At 37.6% G+C, this 24,945-nt stretch overlaps 1 protein-coding gene across 1 annotated transcript in view, besides 2 other annotated features; it reads right to left on the bottom strand.

The window, feature by feature from the left end:
• Positions 1-24,945, bottom strand: part of ARIH1 (ariadne RBR E3 ubiquitin protein ligase 1) — a 128,658-nt gene that overhangs the window by 59,776 nt on the left and 43,937 nt on the right. The window lies entirely within an intron of this gene.
• Positions 2,008-2,208: a silencer, noted in NCBI's record as "peak2380 fragment used in MPRA reporter construct". NCBI's record gives its function as "represses an SCP1 promoter by STARR-seq MPRAs in K562 erythroleukemia cells {active_cell/tissue: K562}" and the evidence as "EXISTENCE:reporter gene assay evidence [ECO:0000049][PMID:32103011]".
• Positions 9,918-9,967: a silencer, noted in NCBI's record as "silent region_6625". NCBI's record gives its function as "represses an Ori minimal core promoter by ATAC-STARR-seq in GM12878 lymphoblastoid cells {active_cell/tissue: GM12878}" and the evidence as "EXISTENCE:reporter gene assay evidence [ECO:0000049][PMID:35858748]".

Here is a 24,945-nt window from a genome sequence, read left to right as displayed (position 1 = left end):
TGCAATCCCAGCACTTTGGGATGCTGAGGTGGGTGGATCACTTGAGGTCAGTAGTTCAAAACCAGCCTGGCCAACATGGTGAAACCCCATCTCTACTAAAAATACAAAAAAATTAGCTGGGCGCGGTGGCAGGTGCCTCTAATCCCAGCTACTCAGGAGGGTGAGGCATGAGAACCGCTTGAATCCAGGAGGCAAGGTTGCAGTGAGCCAAGATGGTGCCACTGCACTGCACTCTAGCCTGGGTGACAGAGCGAGACTGTCTCAAATTTAAAAAAAAAAAAAAAGATAATATAAAATACCAAGTTTTACCTGAAAAACTGAAAGCATAAGAGATTAACACTAAATATCAATTCATAAACCAGCTAAACACCTTGTTTTATAAAAATATTCATGCTCCCAAGACAAGACAAACTTCTGTCATCCAAAATTTGACAACAGGGAACTAATGACTCTCATACTTTGGTTAACATTCTAGACAGCATTCTATGAGTATACAGCCACACAGACATGTGTCCCTAATTTCATATAAGTAACACCCTAGTCCAGATTTATAACCTGCTTTTTTCACTAGACAATATCTAACAGACACCTTTGTCTTTAAATGTCTACATTTTTCATTTTTGCACAATATTCCACTGTAGTTATTTACTATAATATATCCAACCAATGTTATTCTGAAGGACATTTAAATGTGCCACATATAAATAATCCTAGATTAAAATCTTAGCCCATCAGATAGGGAAAAATACCTAGACTTAACTTGTATTTATTTATTTATTAGTGAAGGTGAACACATTTTTCTGTGGTGATCTTATTCCCTATTAAGTTCAGTATGCAAAGAGGAAGAGTAAATCTTTGTTTCATGGGTTGCTTTCTTTCATTTCTTTCTTGTCTTTCAACCTTCTTTAATAGTGTTTAATTACCACTTTAAAATTTTTATGTAGGCACATTTATCGTGCTACTCCACTGTGATTTCTGCAGTTCATATCACACTTTAAAAGACCTCTATACCCAAAGATTTTTTAATGGAAATTCATTAATGATTTAGATCTCACCTTTAAATTGTTTCCATTAAAACTGTTGATTTATTTTTGCGTAATAAGGAGTAAAGCCAGGATTCCATTTCATTTCAATCCAAAAATCTAATCACTTATTGAAGGGTTGTTTCATCTATTGGAAACACTTTTTCCCACCTTTAGGTTCCAGCTTACACCCAGCTTCCTCAAATAACTGATCTCTGACAGCTCCTCACTTCCACCCCCATTAGATAAGGTTCCCTTGAATTACATCCCATTGTTACTCTGCAGTCCTTTGCAGCACTTACAACATTACTAACTGTAATCACTCTTTATGTTTGCTCTGCTAGAATGTAAACCCCATGAGGACTACTTTATTATTCCTGGAGCCCTTAATGTCTACAGGCATGTTACAAGCACTTAGTTTCTTCTTAAAGAGTAACTGACTAATCTAACTCTCCCCACTGATCTGTTCACTATATACCCAAATTTCCTATTTAGACAAGTTTATTCCTGGACTCTCCATTCTATTCCACTAATTTGTCTGCTCTTGTAGTCGATAAATTCTCAATATTTGACAAAGATCCCTTTATCATTCTTCTCACAGAATTTTCTCTGTTCTTCCATATTTGTTTTTTCAAGTTAAGTACAATCATTAATTTTTTTTTCAAATCCTCTTGGAACTTTTACTACAATTATATCAAGAGTAAACTGACTGAAAGAATTGACTCTATAATATTGTCTTCCTAGCCAAGAACAAAGTATCTTTTAATTTACTTAATTCCAATTCCTATTCAGTCTCTCAATAGTTTTATAACTTTTTTTCACTATGTGGATCCTGCACATCTTCCAGTAACTTTATTCTCAGGTATTTCAAGTTCTTTTTGTTGGGAGAAAAGCTGAGTGTCGGGAGAGAAGCTGAGGCAGGGCTTGCATGCCTGCTAGACTGCTGGCTCCTTACTTCTAGCACTCCCATTATCTCAACTAGCCATATGTTTCAAAGAAAATGCTAAACCCTCACAGCTGTAGCTCATTCGCTTGATACACCGCTTCCTTTTAACCCCCACATCCTCACCACCTGTTTCTTTGTTTGATCACCAATAAATAGCGTGGGCTCCCAGAGCTCCAGGCCTTCGCAGCCTCCATACTAGCGTTGGCCCCCTGGTCCCACTTTGTCTCTTGTCTTTTCTCATTCCTTTGACTCCGCTGGACTTTGTCGCCCCCACAGCCTGGTGTTGGGTCCGATCACATCAACACTTTTACTATCAATCTGAATTCCTGTGCTTTAGATAGCATGTACTGGAGTTTGCAGCATTTTTAAAAATAGCGTATATTGGAGTTAATACCTTTTTTAAAAAAAATGAGTTAGGGTCTCACTATGTTGCCCAGGCTGGTGCACAGCAGTTTTTCACATATGCAATAATAGCATACAGCCTTGAACTCTTGGCCTCAAGAGATCCTCTCGCCTCACCTTCTTGAGTATAGGTGGGACTATACGTGCACACCACTACATGTGGCTTGGAGTTTATAGCTTTTTGATCCATTCTAGAAGCCACCAAAGGAACTTTCAAATACTGCTAAGTATTTTAAATGAAATATGAGTGGGAAGCTAAAAATCCACTCATATTCTTGGGGGTAGTAGGCCCAGAAATCTTTTTCTTTTACCAAAGTTTCATGTATTTGTTCTGATCTGTATTTATTATATGGTCCATTCACCCCTGACTCCACAATGTTTATTTGGAAATTACTAAAATCTAATTTAGTTTTACTAGGAGTGGCCTATGTAATTAATACTTAAATACATTTCTTAATTTATAAAACTTAAATAATACATTGATCATCCCTTTGGTTTTGGTCAGAACTTCCTAAAGCTCTTCCCAGTTGATTACAGTTTTATATAATTTTTTCACTAATTTTTTTTTTTTTTTTTTTTTTTTGAGACAAAGTCTCGCTCTTGTCACCCAGGCTGGAGTACAATGGTGCAATCTCGGCTCACTGCAACCTCCGCCTCCCAGGTTCAACCGATTCTCCTGCCTCAGCCTCCCAAGTACCTGGGACTACAGGCGCCTGCCACCACGCCCAGCTAATTTTTGTATTTTTAGTGGAGACAGAGTTTCACCATATTGTTTAGGCTGGTCTCGAACTCCTGACCTTGTAATCTGCCCGCCTCAGCCTCCCAAAGTGCTGGGATTATAGGCATGAGCCACCGTGCCCGGCCCATTGTTTTTATATCATGTAGCCTTTCTTTCAAGAATGATAACTGTTTTTTGTCTCATAAACTTGATCACCTCCAACTACTTAGACATAATTCTAATGTTTAAATGTGTTCAACTGCTCACTTTGGCCAAAATCCCTTCCCTCCTCAATATTCATATAGAGATAGTGTTCTATTTTCTTGTTACCTGTTGTTACTGAGGAAGTCTGGCCAAAATAATTTTCTCATTTTCTTCTTTCTTTATTCTTGAACTTTAGCAGTTCCACTAGGCTTTATTCTAAGCACTTAACTTTCTCTTTTGAAATGTCATTTGGATATTAATTACCTCAAGATCCTTTAGTTGTTAAGAATATGTTTGGTTTGCATCCAGTCTCTTAATTTGTCCTCCATGTTTACCAGTTGCTACTTACTTCTTTGTCCTTTTCCTGTCTTCCAGACCTATTTTCTGTAATGCCTGCTCTATTTCTTTCTGCTATCAACATGGTTTGAAGTTCTACAAAATCATTATTTATCCTTTCTTTTTTTTTTCTGTTCTGTCAGTTCCCTTTTCACCTTCTGTTGTTTTATCAGTTTACCTCTGATCCCTCATCTCAAGAGTCTTATGTTTAATTTCCTAAGACAAAGCTGATTTCTTCTAATTATGATTGTTTTATTTAAGACTACTGTGCCTGGATAGTAGTCCAGGCATAGAAGAATAGGCTGGATTCTTAACTATCCACACTGTTTACCTGGGCACTATCTGGAAGTTCCTTCAGTTTGCTGGCTTCTATGTAAATCATTGCTTCTGAAAATCAGACCAAAATAAAAAGGAACTGACTCAATGTAAAGCACTGTAGTTGAGGCATCTTTAATGAGTTAACCAAATACTTCTCTCTGCTTCATTGACTTGAAAGAGCTGCAAAGCTTATCCTAGGACTGTGCTTCTCTCCTTCCCTGTAACCCTGCCTATCCTTTTCAGGAAATCATATTGATCAAAGTAAAAAAACAAGCAGCAGTATGGTTTCTCCTTCAGCCTTTCCTTAGTGAAGAAAGGGCACAAGCAGGTTAACACCCATTCCTATGGCCTATATTTCTCTACATTAAGATTTTCATATAGACAATAATCTGTCAATTTAAAAAATATTGGATTTAAGCAGTTTCTCAGTAGATTGTAAATTCTCTTCTCTCCAGGATTATTTCTGCACATTGAGTATATTTACAGAAATACAGCTGAGCAACCTGGTACTCAGACAACTTTCCAGAATATTTGAATCTTAATTTTTCATTTTACTTGCCTGCTATAGAGAAACATACCAAATAATATGAATTAAATTTCAAGGCAGGAAAGTTACAGCCTAAGAGCTCTTATGTCTGGTTGAGGAGAGAGGAAACGGGGCTGGTAGGGATCACCACTGGCTAATGCTTCTTCTTGAATCCTGAGTGACTGTGGCATCACTGCCATTCGAATATTTAATTTTATCTTCAAAGCTACTAAGTCTTCATACTTCATAAAGACCAACAACTATTGGAGAAGTACTAATTCTCACAATAGAATCAGAAAAGCAAAATGTAAAACCAATTTAAAGATATAAAGTAGGCTTTTGTACGCTGTATTCCTTTATTTACTTATTTATTTGCGGGGGAGAGGGAGACAAAGTCTCTCTCTGTCACCCAGGCTGGCTTCATCTCAGCTCACTGCAACTTCCACCTCCCGGGTTCAAACATTTCTTGTGCCTCAGCCTCTGGAGTAGCGGATTACGGATGTGTGCCACCACTCCTGGCTAATTTTTTTGTGATTTTAGTAGAGATGGGGTTTCGCCATGTTGGCCAGGCTGGTCTCAAACTCCTGGGCTCAAGTGATCTGCCCACCTCAGCCTCCCAAAGTGCTGGGATTACAGGTGTGAGCTACCACGCCCAGCCTCTATGCTTATTCTTAAACTATCAGAGCTCAATCCTCCTATCCAGTCTTTTAATGCTTCCATTATACATTTGCAAGTCAACTAGCTATTGCTATAAGCCTGAGAGGGAGTAAAAATAAGCACACATATGAAAATGTATTAAAAAACACATTATAGGTTATATGTATCCATGTATGAAAATGTATATACACATAACGTTTACTTCTAAATGACCAAAACATTTCTGTTTTAACACTCACATATGGCAGTTTATGGGTATCGGATTGCAATTTCAAAATACTACAAAAGTCACAATTATTCTATACCTTATAGTTCTGACAAAGAACAAAAATCCAGGGTGCCAAAACCCTTCCAAGAACTGCCATTTCAACTCCCCCCAGCCACATTAACCTGTTAATGATGTAATTTTTTTCTACTTTTAGAAAATGTACATTTAAGGGAAAATGTCAAAGGAGCAAAGGAATATCTTAAATTCATTTAAATCATACGAATGAATAAGAACTGCCGTCACATTTATAAAAAGCAAAAGTAACATGAGGTATGAAGATGACTGTCTTAAAACAGCAATACGGAATAATAAGTCATAAAAAATACTAAAATAAATAGTTCTTTCTCTTCTGGGGAATGGGATTGGAACTGAGGGTTTGGAGCACTATTTTTCATTTATAACTCTTGGGAAACTATTGGACTTTTAAAAAATCATGATTGTGTTACTTTGATAAAAAATTAAATTTAAAAAAGGGTTCCTGAGGCAGAATGTAAGTTTTCAAACAAATTAAAAGATATTACTGCATCCTTTGTGGTTTTTAAAGTTATTCTTTCAAAAGAATGTAAGATGACTGGCATAACTACATACCTCTACTAGGTAAGTTCAGAATTCCAAAGAACAAAAACCATCTAAAGGAGTTAAGGATAGAAAACCTTTTTATCCTAAGGAAAGCTTTTAGCCCTCATGTTACAAACAACAACAACAACAACAACAACAACAAAAATGAGAACTCACACAAATCTGTAACAGCTTGCTATAAAAGACTTAGGTTTCTTAAGCTAATCTCTAAAAAAAAATGGGTATTCTATGTAGTTTTTATAGCTAAATATACATACTGCTCATATATTTTTCAGAAAAAGTAGAATACTTTTTGAGGCCATAAGATTTTTCTTATTAGCCTAATTTTTTTTAAAAAGGCATTATAATAAAATAAAACCTAAAAAAACAGCATTGTAATAAAATCTCCTAAGTTTGCTTACTGCTAAGCAAAAGAATGCTTGATAGAGCAGCTACTAATTAATACTACTTCCAAGTGGCAGCACAAAAATCTTACTGCATACTTTAACCTTTTTAGTTCTGAGCCAGGATGAAGGCAGGTGGATTAAGGAACTAACCACAGTGAAACAGATGTTAAGATAACTCTTTCTAGGCTCGAATTCGCAAAACCATAACAGAATTACAATAAACTATGCCATCTTCCAAAGGGATCCAATACCCATTTACTACAGAAAAACCTAAATACCCAAAAGCCAAGTGAACAGTAAATTGACCTCTTACATCCCCCCCATTCAGCTTTTACGATAAAAAATTTTGCTAATCAAAAAGCTTTTTTACATAATAAAATTTTATTGTTTCTCATGAGTTTTAAAGGTAGATGTAAAACTATGCAGGTAAATAAAATTTCAAAAGAAAAAAAAGGCTATGTGCAGTAGCTAGTGAGCCTGTATCCCAGCACTGTGGGAGGACAAGCTGGGAGGATCGCTCAAGCCCAGAGTTCGGAACCAGCCTGAACAATATAGCAAGACCCTATCTCTATTAGAAATAAAATTTAAAAGATAAAAATAAAAGTATGGAGGACATTTACAAAAGAAGTTAATGACTATTCTTTTTCTAACACAGAATGGAGAACATCTGTACAATACAGGCTTTAGAAGACACAGATGCTGGTTTTCACAGGGTGTTCCAGCCACACTACAAACACATGTGTCATCTTTACTGGTGGTTGTCTACGACTTCTGGCTTATGACTATTTCAGTTTTACCAAGATCATCAAACACATAAATTTGTAATTGGAGGTCCCTGGCATTTCAACAATTGGGCAGAATCCAAATGTTATAACTTATTTACAAATGTTCTCTGCCCCCGCCCCACCCCCGCACTCCCAGGAGAAGGTTCAAGATTGTATTACTTTTTCAAAAGAGACTACAGTCCCCAAAACGACAAGAACCATTATTTTTAAAAAACTATTTTTACTTCAAAGAAAACCAAGACAGTGGCTTTTTTTGTCCACCTCTTTCCAAATACGTGCATTAAAGGAAATCTACACCCTCTGCTTAATGGTCTTTTGCTCCTGCTATACATTTTTATCTAGAAAATAAAACACACTACTACTTGTGATTCATGCAACAGTGGATCTCATTCCAACTGAAGAGAAATATCGTTTCTTCAAGTATATAAAAAGAAATTGTCTTTTTATTGTTTTGATAACGATTTTTCAATATATCTAATGCAAGTCCTCAGGCTGTAAAAGTTGAAAGCCTATGAATCAAACAAGTATGTTTAAAATTCAGCTATGTTAAAACAAATTATCCATCAAAACACAAGGTAGTAATATAATTAAGTTCCATTTAACACAGTTCCCTCACCTATTCAGCAACTATATGTAGGAATTATGCTAGTTAGTTGTAATGTCAATTGTTTGGAAGGAAAGAGATGAATACCTGTTTGTAGTATGACATGCTACTTAGCATGCAAGAATGGGAGAAGAATCCTAGAGAAGTACAGAAAACTAACTTCAAGATGTTGAAACAAGTTGGTAAATGTGGTAAGAATACAGACAATAAGGCCGGGCGCGGTGGCTCACGCCTGTAATCCCAGCACTTTGGGAGGCCGAGGCGGGTGGATCACGAGGTCAGGAGTTCGAGACCATCCTGGCTAACACGGTGAAACCCCGTCTCTACTAAAAATACAAAAAATTAGCCGGGCGAGGTGGCGGGCGCCTGTAGTCCCAGCTACTCGGGAGGCTGAGGCAGGAGAATGGCATGAACCCCAGGGGGCGGAGCCTGCAGTGAGCCGAGATTGCGCCACTGCACTCCAGCCTGGGCGACAGCGAGACTCCGTCTCAAAAAAAAAAAGAATACAGACAATAAGAAGACATAGGAGGCATCGATTTGTGATGCACAGAATTGTACGTGATGGCTATGAGCACAACCCCAGAATGAAGTATTCTTGATACGCTCTGATTCTGTACAAAGCTACAGCTCTTAAGATTGAGGCCTGAATAGCAGAGGGCATCCCAAGGAATATACAGTTATAAGCAAAGACATACAGAATGGAGTGAATGTACACAAGGTTTTCAAACCCCAAATCCGGGGAGTATGGCTTTGATGTGGCAGAAACCACAAGGGTAGCAGAGGTTGCTCAAGTAAGTTAACACAATCTAAGTTAAATTTAGGATAGATTTAATATACTAGAGCCTAGGAGAGCAGTGAGAAAAGCTGTCTTGGCAAAATGTAAGTTTACTTGTAGGTACAAAGGAACTATTAATCCTACATGTCCAGGAAAAAAGATGGACCTTCCCTTTAAGACTGATCCTTTTCCTATGTCTGTGTATATGTGTTTTAAAATGATTTTTATTTTGCAATAACACAATCCTAGAGAAGTACATAAACATGCAGCTTACAAACTGTTATAAAACAAACACCAGTATATAAATACCACCCAGGACAAGAAACAGAAGACTGCTAGTACTCTACAAGCCCCCCTAAACGTATGATCACTACCCTGTTTTTTTTTTTAATAATTACACCTAAATATGCATCCTTAAACAATGTAAACTTAGTTTCAACTGTTTTAATCACTGCCCTTTTTAAATAGCTACACCACCTAAACACACATCCTTAAACAATATAAACTTAGTTTCAACTGTTTTTATATTTTATGTAAGTAGAACCATATAGTAGATAGGTATTACTTGGGGTCCTTTTCTTTTCACTATGTTTTTAAGATTTATCTATGCTGTGGCTTGTAGCTTTTGCTCATTTATTTTGCACTGCTGAATAGTTACTATGTCAATATACCATAATTATCTATCTAGTGTAATAGTGATAAACATCTGGGTTGTTTATAGGTTGAAGTATGAATAAATACTGCTAGGAACATGCTTATATATGACTTTTTCTTTTTTTGAGACAGGGTCTCACTCTGTCGCCCAGGTTGTAGTGCAGTGGCATAAAAATGGCTCACAGCAGCCTTGACCTCCTAGGCTCCAGCAATCCTCCCACCTCAGCCTCCTGAGTAGCTGGGACTACAAGCAGATGCCACCATGCATAGCTAATTGTTTAATTTTCTGTAAATACGGGGTCTCACTATGTTGCCCAAGCTGATCTGTAACTCCTGGCCTCAAGCGATTCTCCCATGTTGCTGAGTCCACAGGCATGAGCCACCACCAGTTTTATATATGACTTTCAATGTAGATGTGCACGTATTTCTTTCTATTGGATATATACCTGAGAGCGGAATTATTGGGTCAAAGAAAAAAGAAATTTTTCATATTTCTTTCTAAAGACATTTATTCTAACAATTTACCTCCAGATTCTGATTTTTCCACATGTACAATCACATTGTTTGTGAATACACAATCACATTGTCAGTGAATATTAACAGCCAGGGGCCGGGCCCACGGGCTCACGCCTATAATCCCAGCACTTCTGAAGACAGGTGGATTCCTTGAGCTCAGGAGTTCAAGACCAGCCTGGCCAACATGGTGAAACCCCATCTCTACTAAAAATACAAAAATCAGCTGTGCTTGGGGGCATGGTCCTGTAGTCCCAGCTACTTGGGAGGCTGAGACAGGAGAATTGCTTGAACCTGGCAGGTAGGGGGCTGCAGTGAGCCATGATCTCACCACTGCACCCCAGCCTGGGAGACAGAGCAAGACCCCATCTCAAAAAAAAGAAAACCCCCAAAAACACAGGCATTTCTCTTACAACACTGTATTTTGTTTTCATTTTTTGATGTTCTACTGGCTAGAATCATTTCTAGTATAATGCTGAATTGAACTGGAGATACGATATCCACATCTTGAACTCCCATCTAAAAGGGAAATCTTTTTTAACATTTCAGTGGATAAACTATGATATCTCCTACAAATGTTTCTGTAAGATTTATAAGGTTAACAAAGTTCTAGATTGCTAATAGCTTCTTTTTAAAATCATGAAGCAAAGGCTCCTTGGCATCTCTGAAATGTTTTTCTCATCAATTTGTTCAAGTGACCAATCATGCTGAATTGTTTCAGGTTAAACCAACCTAGCATTCCCAGGATTCACCTCAGGTGGCCATGCTGGGTTACCCTCCTTTTTATATATGTATTGCTGAATTCAATTTGCTAATATTCTGAGGTGTTTCTGTTGTTCCAGTTTTTGTTTTGTGTGCGTGCGTGTGTGTATGTATGGTTTTTTTGTATCTATGTACATAAGACAAACTGGTGTATCATCTTTCCTTGGGTTTTGGTATAAAGGTTATGATATCTTTATGAAGGCAGAAGATCCTATTTTTCTGTTCTTTAGAATAAGGTTGAAGTTACTGTCATATTAAATGTTATGGTAGAACTTTCCAGTATAACCATTTGAATTTCAACTTTTCTTTATAAGAACATTTTAAATTATGGATTTCATTTCTTTATACTTAATAAGGATACAGGTTTACTATTTCTTATGTCAGTTTTGGGAAATTGCCTATTTCTAGGAATCTACCCATTTCGTCTATCAAGTTTGAATAGTTGTCCATAATTTTAAGAGTTTTTTTTTAAACCATCCACAAGATCCTAGTGATACTCTGTTTTCATTCCTAATACTGGTTATTTAGGATCTCTCTTTTTCCTAACCTCATCAAAGTGTCAACGTTATCAGTCTTAAAAAAAAAAAAAAATCTTACGGCTTCTTGATCCCTTCTACTGCATGTTTTCTATTTTATTATATTCTGTTCTTTATTTCTTTCCTTGTATTTTCCCTATATTTATTTTGTTGTTCTTTTCCTAACTTGAGACCTCTAAGCTTATTACTTGAGACTTTTAAGATGAATGCTTAGCTCATTATGCATTTAAGGTTATAAATTCCAAAGTACAACATTCTGCAAGATTTTTCCCTTTAACAGACAAATAGTTGCTTAAATAACAATTATGAGTATTTGAAACTTCAATCAACACTGGCAGAACAAAATGTTGGTTGGCTTTAAAAAGATACAAAAGCTAGGTACAACATAAAACCATTTATATTAATTAAAACATACTGTTTATGAATATATTTTCCATGAACATAGTATTCTAGGTAAGGTTTATTTTCTTTCAAAAGACTGAGGTATCATCTTACTATCACTTTCACTGTTGCTGTTGAGCTGTGCTCTAGAATATTATTATACCTATACTTTCACTCTTTTGAAAGCAGCCTTTCTTGTATCTCATTGATTTAGATTTTTTATTTTTGCTGATTTTGTAGTTTTACTAAGATGTTTTTAAATGTGGATTTCTGGTCAGGCCCAGTGGCTCACCCCTATAATACCAGCACTTTGGGAGGCTGAGGCAGGCACATCACCTGAGGTCAGGAGTTCGAGACCAGCCTGGCCAACGTGGCGAAACCCCATCTCTACTAAAAATACTAAAGTTAACCAGGCCTAGTGGCTCGTGCCTGTAATTCCAGGTACTCAGAAAGCTGAGGCCCTAGAATGCCTTGAACCCGGGAGGTGCAAGCTGCACTGAGCTGAGACTGTGCCACTGCACTCCAGCCTGGACAACAGAATGAAACTGTGTTTCAATAAATAAATAAATAAATAAATAAATAAAAATGTGGATTTCTTTTTACCATATTTCATAAAATCTAAAATGCTTTCGTGCTGAAATTTCATGATCTTAACAGAAGTTGACATGGAAAATTTTTCACGAGTCAAAATTTCAATCTTTTTGGACTGTAAGGTGTCAATAATTGAAAGATGCATCCAGATTTCAGATGTTAAAATGTGAAAAACTGTGTATCTTAGGATCAGTGAAACAAGTAGCTATCACACATGGGAACTGTTATGTTTCTTCAATCTATGACATTTGGGTCTTTTACCAATCTGCAAAATTCTCAGTCATTTTTATCTTAAAATACTGCCTCTGCCACATTCTCTCCTCTCTTTCTAAAACTCAATGAGACCTTCTCATTATATCCTCTGTATTTCTTAATCTCTTCTGTATTTTCCATCTTTTAATGGATATACTTAATTCTGGATCATTGTTTGATTTTCAAATACACTAAACTCTCTTCAGCTTTGTCCAGTCTGCTGTTAAACTATGTCACAAAGTTAATTTTGCTTATTTTGTTTAGTTATAAAAATTCTGATTTTTTTCCAAATCTGAATGACAGCTCCCTGGTGATAGCATACTCATTTTGGTCTAGGTCTGACAATTCCAGTATCTTAAGTTCCAGGTTGTTATGTTTTAATTAGAAAAATAATTTGAGAAAATAGTTTAAGGTCTTAAATAATGTTATTTCCCTAGAGAAGATTTACGTTTGTTTCTGTTATATACGGGGGCTATCTTAACCCAAGTTCAAGGTTTAAGGTTTTCTGGACTACCCAAAAGACATGAAGATCATCTTCAGTCTTTAAGGAGCTAGTGTATTCAATTTTCGCTCTTAGTAGACCTAATATTCCAACTTCCCCCTCTACTAACAAAGGGCAAACAAAACTCACAGCTAAGTCTCTTAGCTACCTCTTCTGGATCAACATACACTGCTAGAGCAACAAGGACTGGAAGCTTGTTTCTCTAAATTTCCCTTGATTCCCAAACTCTCAACCTTGAACCTCTATTTCCTATCTTACTAATTATTTGATAATCTTACTTTTCAAACATGTTTCAGTATTTCACCTAGCCTCTTCTAGTGTATTTAGTGAAAGGAACGGTCAAAATTACCAGAAGTTTCCCAGAGTCTCCTATATTTTGTCTCAGTTAAAACTAATTTTACTTCTCTTTCCATCTACCCTCTGCTATCAATTTAGCTGTCACTATTGTAAGTCAGGACAATATTTTCCTTTTACCTGGATAGTTAAAACAGCTCATTTATTACTAGATTTTTTTCTGAAATAATGCTTTTCCATCACTATTTCTCCATAAAACAACGTTCAAGGGCTTCCCAATAAAGACAGAAAAATTCCAAATTCACTTACTTAAAATTCAAGGCCCTTATAACGTGCATTAAACATTTCCAACCATTTCCCCTCTATTCTTCGCATACTCCAGACATTCAATCTCATAATTGTTCAACATATATTCCTTAAACTTTGTGCCCCACTTAGTTTTGTTTTCTGAGCCTTAAATACCCAGGTTCCCATATCACTTCTGCCCTTCCTTGTCCAATCAAATGCCACACCTCATTACTAAATCCTTTCCCACCTAGGTCAAAAATAAAAATTTATCTCTAAGTACCATGGAGCCATAAAAACTTATCTCTACGTACCATGGTGGTCTATTGTATGATACACTGTTGTGTGTAACTCCTCATCACCAAGCTCCTGCTCAATGTCTTAAACATAGCTGATATTTAAAAAATTCCTGGCAGGGTGCAGTGGCTCAGGCCAAGAGAGGAGGACTGCTTGAGTCCAGGAGTTCCAGACCAGTGTGGTCAACAAAGTAAGGTCCCATCTCTACAAAAAATTTGCTAGGTGTTGTGGTGCACAGTCCTACCCACTAGGGAGGCTGAGGCGAGAGAATCAGTTTGAGCCCCGGAGTTCAAGGATGCAGTCAGCTGTGATCACGCCACTGCACTCCAGTCTAGGTGAGATAGTGAGATAGGGGGAGCAAGAATTCTGTGTTCTTAATCACTGTACTATAATGAGATAGTACATTTGCTTTTTTTTTTTGAGACGGAGTCTCGCTCTGTCGCCCAGGCTGGAGTGCAGTGGTGGATCTCGGCTCACTGCAAGCTCCGCCTCCTGGGTTCACACCATTCTCCTGCTTCAGCCTCCTGAGTAGCTGGGACTACGTGAGCCCATCACCACACGCGGCTAATTTTTTGTATTTTTAGTAGAGATGGGGTTTCACTGTGTTAGCCAGGATGGTCTCGATCTCCTGACCTCATGATCCGCCCACCTTGGCCTCCCAAAGTGCTGGGATTACAGGCATGAGCCACCACACCCAGCCGTACATTTGCCTCTTGCCCTTCACTACTCTCCTCAATAATACGTGAATTGTTTTTTGTTTTTTGTCTGAGACAGGGTCTCACTTGGTCACTCAGGCTAGAGTACAGTGACATGATCACAGATCACAGCTCCACCCTCCTGGGCTCCAGCAATCCTCCTGCCTCAGCCTTCTGAGTAGCTGGGACTATAGGTGTGCATCACCACACCTAGCTAATTTTTTATTTTTTTGTAGAGATGGGGGTCTCCCTATGTTGTCCAGGCTAGTCTCAAACTCCTACGCTCAAGCGATCTTCCTGCCACAGTCAGCTAAAGTTCTGGGATCACAGGCATGAGCCACTGTGCCCGGCCGTGGATTGTTTAAACAGGAAAAATTTCACTGTATTGTAGAATAGTGATAAATGTCATCAAAAAGGCAAGGTTTCTGAAAAACCAAATTTACTTTCACCATCCCTGAGGCTAATTATGAAATTATATATTATTAATAATGTGGCTACAAAAAGTTCCATGTTATCATAATCACATCCAAGTATTAACACTAGTACCTACCCATTAAATGGGTATTAATGCTTCAGAATGAAAAGTGAAAAGCTATTTGTAACAGAGTCCAGGAAAGACTGAAATCCTTCTTCAGGATTCTTTAATTATACCTGTCCAAGTATAATTAAGTTTTATAGGTGGTTAAGTTTTCAACCACCTGTATTTCATCCCACCTCAAACACACCAATTAATTCATTAGCATTTACCCTATATACTACCATACTATCAACTGAAATGAGTTTTTAAATGTTATTATAATTTAATAACCTACAAGAAATCTGAGCTGCAAGAAAGACACTTTTTTTTTTACTTGTTATCAACTTAAAAGTAGCTCCATTGTTGATGCTGTTTCTAAAAGCTCCCAAAATGAAATCTGATTTACATTCATGTCATAACTTCAATAAAATTCTATTACAGAAAAGAAAACCTATAAATGGCTGGATTTAATTAAAATACTTAGTAAACAATGGCTATATATTAGGAACTGCGTTATGTGTAGGAATACAAGAAAAGTAGGATAGTTTCTGCACAAAGAACCTCAAATAGAAGTGGTAAAATACTAAATCAAATAAACAATACAGTGCAAAGCAAGTAGATCTTGAGAGATAAGAAAAGCTGTCTCAGAAGAAAAGGTTAACTTGAGTTTTGAAGGAAAATTAGGAAAAAAGACAGTAAGAAAGGCAAGTCAGGCCTGGGCCAATGACAGTACAATTCCAAAGATGCTCCCTAGAGCTGCACAGTAAACAGAAGCCCTGGGTCAAAACACAATTGCAAAGCTGAGGCAGCAGAAAAATGAATTTGGTGACTGTCACAAAAGTTTTGTACTACTAAAGTGTAATATGAGAACAGACATAAGGATACGGAGATAAAAAAAAAAAGCTAGCAAGGTAAACAGAGGACACAATTCACTTTCCCATCCCTCCAGGTGAGAGAATTCCTCCCAGGCAGGAGCAGGGAGACAGTTTATCAAAAACTCACTACTCAAAGAAGGTTCAATGAGGTAATCTATCAAAGGAGTAAGGAGATATCCAGCTTTCAGACGTTGCAGAGGTATTAGTTGTGGTGTCATATGCCCAATATTGATGTTATCAGCAGTGATACCTGTGCCCAATGGCAGCAGCAACAGTGCCTCCACTAAAATAGTTTGACATTCTGATTTTGGCATTTTCCTGACTGCACAACCTTCACACCTAAGATTCTCAATCTTTAATGTCTATTTCACTTTTAACTTCTTAAAGTTTGTTTATAATGAAAAATCCTGACTGATATACCAAGAAAGGAGGAAAAGGTTCAAGATATGACAGATGAAATAATGGAGGCAATATCCCACAAAAATCATGATAGTATCAAAACCCAGATGGAAGACTTGACAGATAACAGTTGTTGCTGTATTTCTGATTTTATGCTTTGCTTTGCTTCATCTGGAGAGGCATGGAAAGAAATTAGTAATTATAGAAAATTCTATTTAGTTTGTAAAACAGAAGAGAAATTAATCTGCAGAGATTTAAAAAAAAAAAAAAAAGCATTAGACAGTAAAAGAAAGAAAATGACAGTGGTCTGGAAAACTGCTATAATGGATAAAAGAAAAGACCATAAAGTTAAAGGTGTCCTTTCTCCACCAGCTCCGACCTTTGCCCAAAATTTATATCTTATTTAATTTTTTAAGAGTCAGGGTCTTCCTCTGTCGCCCAGGTTGGAGTGCAAGATCAGGGTTCACTGCAGTCTCTGCACTGAAGTGAGACACCCACCTCGGCCTCTCTGGTAGGCAGCACTGCAGGCACACACTATCATGCCCAGCTAAGTTTCCTACTTCTTTTTAAAGGCGGAGTCTCACTGTGTTGCCCAGGCTGGTCTGGAACTCCTGGCTTCAAGTGACCCTCCAACCTAAGCCTCCTGAGTCACTAGAATTGCAGGGTTGAACCACTGTACCTGCCTCAAAATATATTTTTAAAAAGAAAAAATCACATTCATTTTTAGGGTCAGTATAAATTTGTTTAAACTACAGACTAAGAGGCATGGGGCAAACAAGAGGAATAACTGGCAAGGATCTATTTATACCTCTATTGCCCTCAGGGGACCATGGGCACCTCCCTCCAGGGCAGGGACTATGGCTTACTAATGAATAAAATAAAAAGAAATACTAATATGCCTGGTATATGGAAATGACAAAGGAAAAGAAAGTTTTAAAATATTTCACAATTTTAACTAGGATAAGATTTATCTTTAAATATATCGAAATAAGGAGAAATGACACTTTAATACATTCAGTGTTACCCATTAGGAAGCACGATTTTTAAAAAATACGATGTTACAAACCTTATGGGCTATATGTAGACTAAAGGTAGGTATATTGCTTACCTTTTCTTAACAATTCCTAGGATACTAAATACCTACAGGATTACCATATGGGTAACCTCAATTTTTATATGCAAAAAATGTGGAGATTGAACGTGGTGGCTCACGCTTGCAATCCCAGCACTTTGTGGGGCTGAGGTGAGAGGATCGCTTGTGTCTAGGAGTTTGAGACCAGCCTGGACAACATAGCAAGACCCTGCTTCTACAAAAAAATTGAGAAAAAAAAAAAAGAATGTGGAGGAACACAGGGGTCACCGAAGCTACAACTACTTACATTCCATGTTTCTTTTCATTTTCCAAGAGAACTGAAGGAAGAAGTAATGGAAAGGGACTGGGCACTGTGGGTTTTTTTCACTTCTCAGGTGATTTTAATGGGCAATCACTTTAATAGTTAATCAGTCGATTCTTCTGGGTTTCCTAGATTATATACTTTACATATAATTTATCTTCCTTTCTAGTCTTTATGCCACTTATTTAATTTTCCATGTATTACGTTATTTATCAGAACTTCCAATACATTCAAATGGTGGTGACAGCCATAATCCTTGTTTGATTACAATGGGCATGTTTCTGATGCTTCAACATTAACTATAATTTTATTGTAGATTTTAGTTGATACCTTTAATCAATCTGAGAAATCACTTTCTCAGTTTGCTAAGAATCTAGTTTTCACTAAATCACGAGTTAATACACAATTTTATTAAAATGCATAACTGACATTTATTATGATTATTCTTTATCTTCATAAATCTGTTAATGTTGTAAATGTTATAAACGAAAAAATTTTCCCCCGATGATGATCTATTCTTGCATTCTTAGGAGAAATCCTACTAAATTGGCCAGGCACAGTGGCTCATGCCTATAATCCCAGCACTCTGGGAGGCTGAGGCGGGCAGATCACTTGAGTTCAGGAGTTCGAGACCAGCCTGGCCAACATGATGAAACCCCATCTCTACTAAAAATAAAGAAAAAAACTAGCCAGAGATGGTGGCACGCACCTGTAGTTCCAGATACTTGGGAGAGGCTAAGGCGGGAGAATCATTTGAACCTGGGAGGCGGAGGTTGCAGTGAGCCAAGATTGCACCACTGCACTCCAGCCTGGGTGACAGAGTGAGACCCTGTCTCAAAAGGAAAAAAAGAGAAATCCTACTAAGAGTCGTTGATTCAATCATTATTTTATTTATAAATTCAACAGCTATATTTATAAGTATCATTTTCTCCTACTGTCTGTCAAATTTTGGAACTGGGTTATTCTGATCTGGCTAACATGAATTAATGATGTCCTACCATTTTCAATGTTTGGAGATAATTTTCTACAGGAACTGGCAGTTCCTTGAACGTTTATGAGACAGAACTTACCCATAAAATCATCCAGTACTTTTTGGGGAAGGAGTGGAATCTTTTACTATATTCACCATATTTTTCTGGTTATGGGTTTACTCTATTTTTCTACTTCTTCTTGAGGGACAATTTAGGTAATTTCCATTTCTAAGCTTTCAAATGTATGTAAAAGTGGACCAGCTTGGGCTGGCGCAGTGGCTCACACAGCACTTTGGGAGGCCAAGGTGGGCGGATCACTTGAGGTCAGAGTTCCAGACCAGCCTGGCCAACATGGCAAAACCCCATCTCTACCAAAAAATACAAACATTAGCTAGGCATGGTGGCGCACGCCTGTAATCGCTTGAACCGGGAGGCAGAGGTTGCAATGAGTGGACATTGCACCATTGCACTCCAGCCTGGGCAACCGAGCAAGACTCCATCCATCTCAAAAAAAAAAAAAAGGCCGGGCACAGTGGCTCACACCTGTAATCCCAGCACTTTGGGAGGCCGAGGTGGGCGGATCACGAGGTCAGGAGATCGAGACCATCTTAGCTAATATGGTGAAACCCCGTCTCTACTAAAAATACAAAAAAATTCGCCAGGCATGGTGGCAGGCGCCTGTAGTCCCAGCTACTCAGGAGGCTGAGGCAGGAGAATGGCGTGAGCCCGGGAGGCGGAGCTTACAGTGAGCCGAGATTGCGCCACTGCACTCCAGCCTGGGCAAAAGAGCGAGACTCCATCTCAAAAAAAAAAAAAAAAAAAAAAAAAGATGTAAAAGTAGCACACGGTATTTTTCCTACCTCTAATTATGCCTTATTATTCTCAATGTTGTGTCTTCTCCCCCTCCCCCAACACATTTGCCAACGGTTTATTTCCCCCTTTAAAAGAAAAAAAAAACTTATTATTTTTTAGAGCAGTTTAAGGCTCACAGCAAACATATGCAGAAGCTACAGCTCCCATATAACCCTGTCCTAATACATACCCATAGCCTCCCTATCAACAACACAGAGTGGTACATTCAATGAACCTACATTGACACACCGTTGTTACCCAAAGTCTGTAGTTTACATAAGGGTTCTTATTTGATGTTATACACTCTATGGGTCAGGACAAATGCATAATGATACATATCCACCATTACAGTATCATACAAAATAGTTTAGGCCCCCACCCACCCAAAAAAAAAAAAAACTGTGCTGTTGACTATTCATCCCTCCCTCTTCACTAACCCCTAGCAACCACTGATCTTTTCATTGTCTTCATAGTTTTGCCTTTTCCAGAGTGTCACATAGGTGGAATCGTACAGTATACAGCCATTGCAGATTGGCTTATTTCATTTAATAATATGCATTTAAAGTCCCTCCACGGTTTTTCATGGTTTGATAGCTGATTTCTTTAGCACGGAATAATATCCCACTTCTGGATGTACCACAGTTTACTCATCCTTTCATCTACTGAAAGACATCTTGGTTGCTTCCAAGTTTTGGCAATTATGAATAAAGCTGCTATGAACATCCATGTGCAGGTTTTTGTATGGACACAGTTTTCAACTCATTTGGGTAATTTTAAAGAAGTTTTGATTGCTGAGTTACATAGTAAGAGTACATTTTGTATTTTAAGAATCTGCCACGCTGTCTTCCATTTTGTGGCTGTACCATTTTGCGTTCCCACGAGAAATGATGAGAGTTCCTACCGCTCCACATCCTGGTCCACATTTGGTAGTCAGTATTTTGATTTTGGCCATTCTAATAGGTATGTACTGGTATCTCAATGTTGTTTTAATTTGCATTTCCCTGATGGCATAGGACATGGAGCATCTTTTCATTTATTTGCCATCTGTATAACTTCTTTGGTGAGGTGTCTGTTAAGCTCTTTGGCCCATTTTTTAATCAGACTGTTTTCTTACTGTTGAGTTTTAAGAGTTCTTTGTATATTTCGGACAAGAGTCCTTTGTTACATGTGTCTTTTGCAAATATCTTCTCAGTCTGTAGCTTATCTTCCAGAAAATTCATGTCAAAGATCTTTATCTTTTTTGTTGTTGTTGTTGCTCTCTAGTTCATTAATATCTAATTTTATCTTAAATACCTTTTCTACTTTCTTTGGGTTTATTTTATTTTTCTAACTTCCTGTTTCAAAGGCTTGGTCCTTTTTTTTACCTCATTCTCTTGTTTTTATTTTTCTTTTTTTCGAGACAGAGTCTCACTCTGTTGCCCAGGCTGTAGTGCAATGGCACAATCTCAGCTCACCACAACCTCAGCCTCCCGGGTTCAAGCCATTTTCGTGCCTCAGCTTCCACGTCCTGCATAGCTGGAATAACAGGTGTCCATCACCACGCCTGGCTAACTTTTGTGTTTTTAGTAAAGATGGGGTTTCACCATGTAGGCCAGGCTGGTCTCAAACTCCTGGCCTCATGTGAGCTGCCTTCCCTGGCCTCACAATGTGCTGGGATTACAGGTGTGAGCCATGGTGCGCAGCCCAGTTTTTTACCTCATTTTCTTTTTCTAATAAAAACCCTTAAGACTGTAAATTGCCCTGGACCTTTTCAGCCACATCTCATCTTTGTATTCTCATTATTTAATTCTAATTATTTTAATGTAAGAATAAACCGAGAGATAAAGCAAAAATTGTACCCACAAAACAAGAACAAAGTTATTAAAAGGAATAAGATGGATACTGTTGAATAAACAATTCAATACGACTATAAAGCAGAATGGATGCAGGAAGAAAAGCAAGATAAACTGAGGAATTTTCACAGAACAAAGTCAAAAACAAAGATGAGTACAGTCACTGGCACTTGCCCAAGTGCTGGGGGTGGGGAGATGAATACAGAAGAAGTATTTTTTAGAAAGTTAGAAGACATGCTGGATGCAATGACTCATGCCTGTAACCCCAGCACTTTGGGAGGTAGAGAGGGGAAGATCACCTGAAGTCAGGAGTTTGAGACCAGCCTGGCCAACATGGTGAAACCCTCTCTCTACTAAAAATACAAAAATTAGCCAGGCATGGTGGTGGGTGCCTGTAACCCCAGCTACTCAGGAGGCTAAGGCAGGAGGATCCCTTGAACTCACAAGGCGGAGGTTGCAGTGAGCCGAGATGGCACCACTTGCACTCCCTCCAGCCTGGCTGACAGAGGCAAGACTCCATCTTAAAAAAAAAAAAGTTAGAAGACATGGAAAGAGATCCCCAAGTTTCAACATGGATCCAGGAATTCCAGAAAGCATCAAGAGAATGGAGAAAAGGTATGCTGAACAAATAACAGCTGAGAATTTCCAAAACCAAAAATATGAATTGTCAGACTTAAAGGGCCCAACAGTTTATGTTTTCAAAACTCACATCCAGAAATATTACAGTAAGTTTCAGTATATTAAGAGTTTCTATTATAGGACTTAAAGTTTGTCACATGTGAAACAATTTATATTACAGGATATATTCTAAGAAAAACAGTGTATTTAGAAAAAAAATAGTGGTATGCAAAAAGCGAATTAGCCAGAAAAGGGGGGGGGGGGGGCATTAAATACATACATAGTAAAAATGCTTACAATCAAATAAAAAATTCAAATATCGACTGGGCACAGTGGCTCATGTCTGTAATTCCAGCATTTTGGGAGTTCAAGGTGAAAGGGTTGCTTGGGTCCAGGAGTTTGAGACCAGCCTGGGCAACATGGTGAAACCCCATCTCTACAAAAAAATATAAAAACTAACTAGGTATGGTGATGCGTGCCTGTGGTCCCAGCTACTGGGGGTGCTGAAATGGAAGGATTGCTTGAGTCCAGGAGGTCAAGGCTATAGTGAGCCATGATCTCACCACTGCACTCCAGCCTGGGTGACAGAGTGAGACCCTGTTTCAAAAAGAAAAGAAAAAAAAAAATTCAAACATCAACTTATCAAGCTGATAGGGACAAGGAAAGGACAAAGAAAAAAATTTATGCTACAGTTTTTGTCTTGTACAGAGGATGGATTAAAACTTCAAGTAAATATTGTTAGAAACTTTTATATAGTTGTAAGTAGGCATGTACAAATTGTAAAAGTGACTAGAAAAACTGAAATAGAATACATATATAAATTTGAAATTATTCGAGAAAAAGGAAAATCTGATGAGGCCAACAGAATAAGCGAACAGAAAACATAACAAATATAAAGCACAACTTAAAATGACAGTAATTTAATCTAAACATTAATTATAAAACATGAATATGTTAATCTCTGATATTAAAAGATAATAGTTTTTTCATTCAGATTTTTTTAAACGGCACCTACATGGTATTTACAAAAGACACTCCTAAAACCCAGAAAGGTTGAATATTTAAAAAATGGAAAAGATACATCAGTCAAATGCTTTAAAAAAAAAAAAAGTGTGGCAGTGCTAATAGCAGACAACATAAAATATAATGTGAAAATCATTAAATGAGACAAAAAGATATTGCATATTGATTTTAAAGACACTATTTAAAGACTGAATTATAAATCTTTTAGGTATCCAATAGCTTCTCTACAGAAACTACAAGGAGAAACTGAAACGTTCACATACTCAGAAGTTTCCCAGAAACCTCCTTTTAATTTAAATTCACACTTACCACCTATTTTTTTAGACAGTTTAAGGTTCCCAGAAAAACTGAGCAGAAGCTACAGTTCCCATATAAAGTACAAAATTTAGTACAACATTAAATCCAATAGTACACAAATATTAAGTACAATATTTAATGGAAAAATATTTTCAGCAGTGTTATAGGATAAAATTCAGAATGTCTTGGAGAAATACATTAATATGAGAGAAACTCTGAGTAAATCAGTGTTAATTCATTAGAGTTTCACAAGTAAACGATAAAAACTCTTTCTCCTAGTAGAGGTGTCATCAAATAAAAAAACCTGAAAGTAAATGTTACCAAAATTAAGAAACACCACTGATGTCAAAAAATACGGTCAGGGCTGGGCACAGTGGCTCACAACTGTAATCCCAGCACTTTGGGAGGCTGAGGCGGGCAGATCACCTGAGGTTGGGAGTTCGAGACCAGCCTGACCAACACTGAGAAACCTCATTTCTAATAAAAATACAAAAATTAGCCAGGCATGGTGGAGGGCGCCTGTAATCCCAGTTACTTGGGAGGCTGAGACAGGAGAATCGCTTGAACCCAGGAGGTGGAGGTTGCAGTGAGCCGAGGTCACGCCATTGCACTCCAGCCTGGGCAACAAGAGCGAAACTCCGTCTCAAAAAAAAAAAAAAAAAAAAAAAAACAAAAAAAACATGGTCAGAATGCATAAAAAGAAAAATCAAACTAGTTGAACATGTTATCCTTCATGAACCATGGGAAAGCTTTATACAGTATGTGTTTGTTTTGAGATAGTTGTTACTATTAAATTGTAATTTAATAGTAACAATAGATATTATTTACAATGTAATTTAATAGATACAAGGTGTATGAAATGGGGTGATATTCTCGGTATTATTTATGTTTTATAAAGTACTCTCTGAATTTTAAAATCAAATGGGAAATACTTTCCATTTATTTCTATAATATATGGGTTGTCAGTTCCCAACAACTAGGTTTAATTTTTTATTAAATTTAGAATTGATAATGAAATAAACATAAGTTGTCAACCTCACCATTAACAAGTGTCCCAAATTTCCATTCAAACAAATTTCCAAACCAAAGAGCAGAACAAGATTAAGAATGACATTAATACTGTCATTCTCCAGTCCCACTAATTTCTTCTCTTTTAAAACTATAAAGATTTTCAGAAAGAAAATATTTTTAAAAACCCAATGGAATAGAATCCTGCCCTGAAACCAGAGAACCAGTCCAAGCACCTGGTCTGGTGGCCAGAAAAGCCTAAGCAACTTCTCAATTTTGTTTCTACTGAATAAATGCTACTAATAACAGGTTAAAGGTTTGTGAGCAAGAATTTTTTTTTTTTTTTTTTTTGAGATAGAGTCTCGCTCTGTTGCCAGGCTGGAGTGTAGTAGCGCCATCTCTGCTCACTGCAACCTCCGCCTCCCAGGTTAAAGTGATTCTCCTGCCTCAGCCTCCTGAGTAGCTGGAACTACAGGCATACGCCACCACACCCAGCTAATTTTTGTATTTTTAGTAGAGACGGGGCTTCAGCATGTTGGCCAGGGTGGTCTCAATCTCCTGACCTCGTGTTCCACCTGCCTCAGCCTCCCAAAGTGCTGGGATCACAGGCGTGAGCCACCATGCCCGGATGAGCAAGAAATCTTTTTAAGTAATTAAAGGAGGATCTTACTCATGTACTCCAAGAATGTTATCAGGTGCTTTTTTTCTCTACCTGCTTTCAGTTCTTGGTACCCAAGAGGATATATGTAGAAGATACTGAAGCACACCCCCAAACACACATACTCCCAAATAAAAAGAAACACTAAGACTGAACTCCCTAACATTAAATTTACTGCAAAATTTACAAAAGGGGAATACAAGAAATTAAAGC

Source organism: Homo sapiens, chromosome 15 (assembly GCF_000001405.40).
Source record: "Homo sapiens chromosome 15, GRCh38.p14 Primary Assembly".
Classification (NCBI taxonomy): Eukaryota; Metazoa; Chordata; class Mammalia; order Primates; family Hominidae; genus Homo; species Homo sapiens.
Note: the sequence above shows the minus strand (reverse complement) of the source record. Positions and strands in the feature narration are given on the sequence as shown.